This window comes from Homo sapiens, chromosome 7 (assembly GCF_000001405.40).
Source record: "Homo sapiens chromosome 7, GRCh38.p14 Primary Assembly".
Classification (NCBI taxonomy): Eukaryota; Metazoa; Chordata; class Mammalia; order Primates; family Hominidae; genus Homo; species Homo sapiens.
This window is the reverse complement of record NC_000007.14, coordinates 92101641-92110988: the sequence shown is the minus strand read 5'-3', so window position 1 is coordinate 92110988 and position 9348 is coordinate 92101641. Positions and strand designations below refer to the sequence as shown.

The following is a 9348-nucleotide window of genomic DNA, read 5'->3' as shown; positions in this document are numbered from 1 at the left end:
AAGATCTTTTGAGTTAATGATTTCTTCATCTTTTTAGTGGGCCATGGATTTGTGAGAACACATCTTTGGAAACAAGTAACACTAACTGTAATATAGTAAATACTGATTAATCATGAAATACCAATATAGCTTTTAAAAAACACTATGTAGATGTAAAGTTGATACAAAGACACATGGAAAACTTTCAACAGTATTAACTCTAAGATTAGGACAACTTTCTCTGAATCTCTCACTCCTACATATTTGACATAAGTAATGAGATGCTATGTACCAAGAACTATGGCTCAGTTAAAAATGAAGAAGGTTCAAATACAGTGTGGTGAAAATGGTGAAGTCATTTTTATTTCAGTACTTGACAAAATACCCCATAAAATTCAAAACTTCTACCATTATACAAAAATAGGTCTCTACAAGTGATATTATCTGTCTTCATCACCAGTAGAATATATTAGGCAAAACATGTAACTTCAGTAGCCTTATAAGAAAAGTGCAGGACACCTCGAGCTACACATTCAGCAGTATTGTAATGCGTAAAAGTTTAATCTTTTCACCCATTTGATAAATACACAAGGTTTATAATTTAATGTTTTAAATTAGCATTCCACAAATATACAGGTAATTCAATAATTATTGTGCATGAATACATACACAATGCTTATATATACAAATTCCAGTTTGTTTTCATGTGCTGGCAAGGGATTTGTATACAATCATAAGCTGTGTTCATATTGGTCCCATTGAATATTCACAATACAAAAGCACAAAAGAACCATTGATTTACAAAAGGAAATCTATTTAAAATCACTTCAATTAATGATGTTTCAAAGGATTATCTTCTCATGCCAGCATGAAATTGAGTAGTTGAACCTATGAGAGAAAAACAGGAAATTCAACTGATTTCAAATTACATTGCTACCTGTATCAGACCCACCAGAGTTCACACAAAGGAAATTATTATTATTCTCCATTTTTTTAAAGCCCTTTTTTTCCTTAAAATGTCCTCTTCATACTTAAACTGAGTCTCTCCCCACTACCCCCAAGGTGGAGTGTTACTCTGTTGCCCAGGCTGGAATTCAGTGGTGTGATCTTGGCTCACTGCAACCCCCGCCTCCTGGGTTCAAGTGATTCTCCTGCCTCAGCCTCCTGAGTAGCTGGGACTATCCACACATGCCACCATGTCCAGCAAATTTTTGTATTTTTAGTGGAGACGGGGTTTCACCATGTTGGCCAGGCTAGTCTCGAACTGGTTGGTCTTGAACTCCTGACCTAGTGATCCGCCTGCCTCGGCCGCCCAAAGTGCTGGGATTACAGGCATGAGCCACCGCGCCCAGCCCATATACTTAAGCTGACTTTTAAGAGATTTTGAATATATATGTAAAAATCACCATGACTGGCTCTATGGCAAGGTAGGTGAGACTAATATTTAGAGTTTTTTTAAAGTGCTCTCAAAGTTGGATGTTCTATACCTCATACATTTTTGAAAAATCTTTTGGTCTTCAAAATCTGGGTCTTGTGAAATTTGGATGCTCAAAACAAAACAAGCCTAGGCAAACCAACAAACTCAGCTATGATAATAAAAGTTTCCTATTACTACAAGATGCTTGGGTGTAAACAAATGATTTCTTGAAGGAAGAGATAAACTACTCAATGATTCAAAGTCTCTGAATCAGGAGTGAACTGAAGTGAGATAGGGAAAAGAGGTTTTCCTTCCATGAACAGGGAATCCACCTTTATTTTAAAGTATGACTTGTTTTTTGTTTTTGAACAAAGAAAAAATAATCCTTACAAAGTATTTTAAATGGGATAGTTTTTTTCGATGATACATAAAAGCACAATATAGTAGCAGGGATAATGGTTACATTAAGTGCTTAAAGTAAGTGCTTCCTCCTTAACTCCACCCGATTTGCATGCCTTACCACTTTCTTTTTTTTTTTTTTTTCTTTGAGACAGGGTCTCGCTCTGCTGCCCAGGCTGGAGTGCTGCGGCACGGCCTTACCACTTTCTGCCATGCGCTACTTAGGAATACGTTCTCCAGTTAGGCTCTGTAGACTCAGAGTACCTTGCACACTGGTGCTCATTGTGCATTTTGTGTCATCAGTCCGCTGAATGAACATAGTAGGAAATCATTTTTGGGAGGAGTGGGATCTGGGGTGATAAATCATATTTTCACTTAAATTATTTAAAGTCAGTTTCTCTGCTGGTTACAAGAGTTTAAGCTTTGGCTAACTTAATAATTAGCTCATGCACTAAACTGGAAGCTTTGATTATCCTAATGAGTGTGAAAGAATTTCAAAGAAAGGGGAGCTGTGGGTCTCGCACTGTGGTGCTGCCAAGATGTGGTTAAACTCAGAGCACCTGACTGTATAGTTCCAAGTCGTCTTTGCAGTGCCTCTAGCCGAGTGATATAATCTGTTAGGGCTCTGTCAGGATCGTAATTCTGAAGCTGAGAACATGCTAAAGAACCAGGATTGAAATCAGCTGGAGTGCCTGGGTACCTAAAGGATTAAAAATATGTACATGAATCAAGTTATCCAGAAATATGCATATAAGTTACCAACCTGCCTCCACTCCCTTCCCCAAAAAGGTGGGTCACTTGTACACACATAATGTATCTCCTCCAAGCTTCAGCTTTGGAGCTTGGGATGAGAAAGAGACAACTCTCCAATGAATTCAAAGATGCTACTAAGTCAACATAAGAATGTCCAATACAATGCTTGTGGCAGAGGTCTCAATAAATTGGGTATGTATAAATGTATCTTGTCATGAAGACTGTTAAGCTTTTCATAATGATCAGAGTATCAATTTTAGTCAATACTTTTCCCAATATCTAACCATAGCATACACTAAATAACACTTGGTCAGCTTGTTTGCTATACCCTTGGAAATCAGTTACAAATTTAAACACTGGTTTTTACATTTTTACATTAAGCCTTAGGTTATGTATATTTTTTTTCTTTTTTTTTTTTTTTGGAGACCAAATCTTGCTTTGTTGCCCAGGCTAGAGTGCAGTGGCGTGACCTCGGCTCACTGCAACCTCCACCTCCTGAGTTCAAGCGATTCTCCTGCCTCAGCCTCCTGAGTAGCTGGGATTACAGGCACCCACCACCATGCCTGGCTAATTTTTTTGTATTTTTTTTTGAGACAGAGTCTCGCTCCGTTGCCCAGGCCAGAGTGCAGTGGCACAATCTCAGCTCACTGCCAGCTCCGCCTCCCGGGTTCACACCATTCTCCTGCCTCAGCCTCCCAAGTAGCTGGGACCACAGGCGCCTGCCACCACGCCTGGCTAATTTTTTGTATTTTTAGTAGAGACAGGGTTTCACCATGTTGGCCAGGCTAGTCTCCAACTAGCTGGTCTTGAACTCCTGACCTCATGATCTGCCCGCCTCAGCCTCCCAAAGTGCTGGGATTATAGGTGTGAGCCACCGCACTTGGTCATATTATGTAAATTATATATAACAAAGATGTCTATCTCAATGCAAAGAAGTCAAAGCCCTAAAAATGTCCATTTATCTCTGTTAAATATTAATACATTTAACAATTCCAGGCAGGTTTTCTCATATTCTTACCTATTCTGAAATGGTAAAGGGGACCTAATATAGTCCAGATCTGATCTTGAGCGATACGTAGTATGTCTTGGTTCTCCATATAACTCCAGCCCACCAGAAGAATGATAAAATGAGTCAGTCTTTTCTGCACCTAAAGTAACCCAAAATATTCCTTGTAAAGAAAAATAAAATCCCAAGACCTTAAAAAATTTCTACAAAATAGGTAACTGCTCAAAAGACTATTATACTATATTATACAATCTCCTATTTATAGTCATTTTCTATTATTCTTGATAAAGGAGAAAACAGTACAAACAAAAATTCGGCTTTCAAATGTTATTTTGTTTACTTTTGAATATGAGTATTTCTGATATCTGGAATTATGTCTCAAAGAAAATTATTTAATTGGCATATTTTCTTCTTTAAAGACCTTAGCTCTAAGTAGATGAGAGGTGAGGGGTGTCTGAGTGGGTGTGGCTTGTGGGAAATGATGTGGATAAAAAATATTAGACCAATGTAACCATTCCAATCTACTGACTTGAAACCAAGATTTGCTAACTTTTAATAAAACACAACTTATTATGGTACAAATTTCAGCTGTTTCAGTGTAATGATATTTCAAAATACTTTGTGTAGGGTACCAAATCTATTTCCCCTCTGTAGGATGCTCAGCTCCTGGTAGAGTATGTAAAGGTGGTTTACTATGAATACACAGCACAGGGATGCTGTGTCCTCTGTGTGCTCCCCAGATTCGGACCTCATCTTTATTGCCAGAAATGTTCAAGCCCTAGTTTGTTTCCACTTCTAGGTGTAGACAGAAGGAATTTTAGCTGTTACCATTATTATACAACCTGTTGGTAAACTCAGAAACTTGTTTGAATATTGTTAAATTATGAAAACTTCCTAATTCTTCCATATGACTAACAGCAATCCTGTCTTGAACCGTGCCTTAAATGCAGTTATGAAGAGTGTGGGCTCTGGACCCAGACTGCCAGTGTTTGGTCCTGGTTCCATCACTTCCCTACTGGCCATTCTGGGGCAAATGACTTGTGTTTTCCATGCCTCGATTTTTCATCTAAAAGTGAGAGTAGTAAAACTGTACTTATATCATAGGATTGGGAGAATACATGAAAAGAGCATGGCCAGGTGCAGACTAAGTTCTCCATGAAAATCAGTTATTATTACCCTCTTTAAAACAGTGAAGTTACCTAGTTTTGGCAGTTATAAGGGCTTTGTCTTTGGAAAACATTGCTTCCAGAATTCATTACTTGGTAAGTATTACACATGCAGTAATTCAGAGCAGCAGTCCCCAACCTTTTTGGCACCAGGGACACATTTCATGGAAGACAATTTTTCCATGGACCCAAAGGGGCCAGAATGGTTTCTGGATGAAACTGTTCCACCCCAGATAATCAGGCATTAGTTAGATTCTCATAAGGAGCACACAACCTAGATTCCTCACATGTGCAGTTCACAATAGGATTTGTGCTCCTATGAGAATCTAATGCCACGGCTGATCTGACAGGAGGTGGAGCTCGGGCAGTAATGCCCGCTGCTCACCTGCTGCTGTGCGGCCTGGTTCCTAACAGGCCACAGACAAGTATGGTCCATAGTCTGGGGGTGGGGGACCTCTGATTTAGAGAGTCATAAACATAAGAAAATATGCTATTTTGACTTCACCTTGATTCAGTCCAAAGCCATCTCTGTTAATATTGATGGAAACAGAACCTGTGACTCGATGCCACCGTCGAACCAAAAATTTCATTCTAAAAAAGATTCCAAGATAAAATTTCACAGCCCATCTATAAACAGTATATACATTTCCTACAAAAATCACATCACACGTTTAAATATGAACATAGAACAAATGTCAAATTTCACAATTGCCCAGTTAAACTATGTCAATGCCTGTTGTGACAAAATCAACTGGAACGGAAGAATAGGGACTCAAAATCCCCTCATCCCCTTCCCAAGAGGCATTAGAGGTCTCTTATATTGCCAGCATCAGGTTCCAGCTTGAGGGATAAATGGGGTATAAGGAGATGGAAGGCAAAAGTAGATGGGAAAAGCAGATAGGCAAAGAAAGGGTGAGAAGTAATGAAAAGAGAAAAGAACAGAGAATAAAGGGCAGATGAGATAAGAAGAGAACAAAAAGACCCTTAAATTGGCAATAAGAATGTGCTGGGAATGCTGCAAGGTGGGTGAAGCTCTTGTCCCTTTGATCAGGGACAAAAAAACGTTGGTTTCAAAAGGAATGGGAGTGTTAGCTTCATGACCCAGGTGCAGCAAGTTACGACCTTCTTCCCCATCTTGGCCCAAGGAGCTTTTGGAGCACCAGTTTTGATTTACTTTGAATCAGTTCCAAGGCTCCATCTTAGGAGGGTCAAAATATGATAAACATAATCTTGGATAAGAAAAAGTGGGGCAGAGTGAAGTATGTCAATAACAACTTCTACACCGCTCTCATGAAGCCTCTCTAGATCCCTCTAATCAAAATTACTAGCTAACTCCTGTGACCTCCCATTTACTTATTATATTCTAAGTTCTGTGCATATTAGTCTTCCCCACTAGAAAGTGAGCTGCCTTTAGGTATTTAGGCAGGATTATATATTTTTTCATCAATGCATCTACCAGCACTTACCCTGGTTTACTCTATACAAGGTGATGAAGGAAATGAAAGGTGAGGAAGAGTAAATGAAACCAGGAGACTACAATATGGAATATCAGAAGCAAGGAGGGTCTAAGGCCCACAGTTAAGATAAAACTTGTGCTCCTGTTTCCAGAGCCAGCATGAATGAGACTTGGGAGACTGGGCTGGTTGTCCTAGCTCTATCACTACTGGCTTTGTAACCGCTCCCTGCCTCAGTTTCCTCAAGTGTGAAATGAGATTCTGGACTAGGTGATCTCAGACAGCTTCCAATTAAAAAACTGTGCCATATTTTTAGAGAAAAATAGGCCGGTGCAGTGGCTCACGCCTGTAATCCCAGCACTTTCGGAGGCCGAGGCGGGCGGATCATGAGGTCAGGAGATCGAGACCATCCTGGTTAACACAGTGAAACCCAGTCTCTACTAAAAATACAAAAAAATTAGCCGGGTGTGGTGGTGGGCGCCTGTAGTCCCAGCTACTCAGGAGGCTGAGGCAGGAGAATGGCATGAACCCGGGAGGCGGAGCTTGCAGTGAGCTGAGATAGCACCACTGCACTCCAGCCTGGGCGACAGAGCAAGACTCTGTCTCAAAAAAAAAAAAAAAAAATAAATAAATAAATAAAGCAGCATCAGATGTGACCTGATAGAAATAACTTTAAAAAGCAAAATTCCTTTAAGATTCTGTCTGCCTCCTAAAAGGGAGGGGGATGCATGGAGAAGCCTTGGTGTTTGTATGCGTATAACCAGGTCAGAAGACTGTAGTGGGCCAGGTCCTCAAAGTAGTTTGAGTCTTGGCTCCATGTCAATCACAGACAGAATGAATACCAGAGTTCTTTGCTTGGAATTACTAGAGAAAGAACAATAAAAGCACTAGCAAAAAGCAAAAATCCAATGCCTTAAAGGCTAACCTCTGATTTGAATGCAGTTAGGAAAGGACCTTCCATAACTGGGCACCAAAAGTGGGTTATCTTAGCAATGAAGAAAATGAATGTACGCCAGCCTAAGAAGTAATTTGTCAACCACATTTTTAAATTTTATAATCTTTTATTTATTTACATGTGTGAGCTTGTTCATGGGCTTATTCAGATTTTTTTTTTTTTTTTGAGACAGAGTCTTGCTCTGTCACCGAGGCTGGAGTGCAGTGGCGCGATCTCAGCTCACTGCAAGCTCCACCTCCCAGGTTCATGCCATTGTCCTGCCTCAGCCTCCCAAGTAGCTGGGACTACAGGCACCCGCCACCACGCCTGGCTAATTTTTTTGTACACTTTTAGCAGAGATGGGGTTTCAGCATAGCCAGGATGGTCTCAATCTCCTGACCTCACGATCTGCCGGCCTCAGCCTCCCAAAGTGCTGGGATTACAGGTGTGAGCCACCATGCCCGGCCTTTTTTTTTTTTTTTTTTTTTTTTTTGACAGAGTCTCACTCTGTCACATGGCTGGAGTGTAGTGGCGCCGATCTCGGCTCACCGCAACCTCCGCCGCCCAGGTTCAAGTGATTCTCCTGCCTCAGACTCCCAAGTAGCTGGGACTACAGGTGCCTGCCACTACGCCCAGCTAATTTTTTGTTTTTTTAGTAGAGATAGGGTTTCACCATGTTGGCCAGGCTGGTCTCGATCTCCTGACCTTGTGATTCGCCTGCCTTGGCCTCCCAAAGTGCTGGGATTACAGGCATGAGGCACCACGCCTGGCCCAGATTGTTTTCTAAAAGGCAGCCGTGATTGGATAGGCCAGCTCTGAGTCACCAGCTGCCTGGACCTAGGAAGGCCCTTTTCATAGTTTACACATACCCTGCCAGTATTCCTGCTAAATGAATGAAAACCTAGAAAAAAAAAGCAGACATGCTTCAGTGATGGCACATACCTCCTACTATATAAATATAGAGTATAACCAGCAGAGAATAGAGGGAGAATTAAAAATAACTAATCCTTTTAGAGAGTCTACTAGTAAAATGCATTTTCCTTCAAGTCTTTACCTGGAAATTGCAATGGATACTCTGACGGCCGACCGAAACCTGGTGAAGCCCTTTGGGCGATTGGTGATCACCTCTAGATCCGTGAAAGCTGGCTGCCCCCCCATCCGGGCAAGCAGGGCCAAGGTGGCATCTTCACATTCCTGGAACCCACCCAGTAACAGCAGCAGGTATTTCTTCTGGTAAATGAGAGCCTTTCGAAAACTTTCTGCCCTCAAGTATTTACCATAAATTCTCTATATTTAGGGAAGAGAAGAATGTAAAGACATTAAGAAAACATTCACCCTGCTCTCTAGGGGAAAATAACCTAGATTTTAACAAGTAGTGGTGGTGGTGGTGGTAGTAGTAGTAGTAGTAGTAGTAGTAGTAGTAGTAGTAGTAATAGTAAAACGGCAGGTTCCTATCACTGTTTTCTACTTTATCAGCAAAGTTGAAATTTCAGATAAATTAACCTTTACACTTTTGCCTCTATTAGTCAATGGAGTCTGAATACTAATATTATAGTTAGGCTTCTTGTTTCTTTTAGGTTTTAGCCCTCATTAATCATATTAATTGCAAATATTTTTGTCATCCCAATTTTTTTTTTAATTGTACAGAGCTATTTTTATTAGGGTCACTAATCTATCTATTTATTTATTTATTTATTTATTTATTTATTTTTTTTTTAAATTTATGAGACGGAGTCTCACTCTGTCACCCATACTGGAGTTTAGTGGCGTGATCTCGGCTCACTGCAACCTCCGTCTCCCAGATTCAAGCAATTCTCCTGCCTCAGCCTTCCAAGTGGCTGGGATTACAGGCGCCCACCACCATGCCTGGCTAATTTTTGTATTTCTAGTAGAGATGGGATTTCACCATGTTGGCCAGGCTGATCTCGAACTCCTGACCTCAGTGATCCACCCACCTTGGCCTCCCGAAGTGCTGGGATTACAGGTGTGAGCCACCAGTGCCTGGCCTAATCTAACTTTTTAAATGTTAATGTTTTCTATCCCTTCAGAGTCATAAACTGGAATAAATGTTCCAAAAGTTTTTCTTTTTGTTTTGAATTTTATGTTGACTGATTAAGGTAGTTTTAACAACATTCATTATTAGTCACCGGAGAGGCTTTTCAGAGGGCTTACCATTTTACAGAGTATGATGTTCTTACATTGACAATAGTAGAGCTTTTGTTAGGAGTTGAAAAGATACC

General features: G+C 40.5%; 1 protein-coding gene across 3 annotated transcripts in view; it reads right to left on the bottom strand.

Moving 5' to 3' along the window:
* The window catches only part of AKAP9 (A-kinase anchoring protein 9), a 169812-nt gene continuing 160779 nt past the window's right edge, over nucleotides 316–9348 (bottom strand). For all 3 annotated transcript variants that reach the window (NM_005751.5, NM_147185.3, NM_001379277.1), the window contains 5 exons: nucleotides 8163–8395; nucleotides 5226–5311; nucleotides 3567–3696; nucleotides 2356–2495; nucleotides 316–867 (listed from right to left, as the gene is read on the bottom strand). In NM_005751.5, coding sequence (NP_005742.4) covers nucleotides 830–867; nucleotides 2356–2495; nucleotides 3567–3696; nucleotides 5226–5311; nucleotides 8163–8395 — 627 coding nt within the window. In that variant the 3' untranslated portion in view covers nucleotides 316–829. The remainder of the gene's footprint in view (nucleotides 868–2355; nucleotides 2496–3566; nucleotides 3697–5225; nucleotides 5312–8162; nucleotides 8396–9348) is intronic.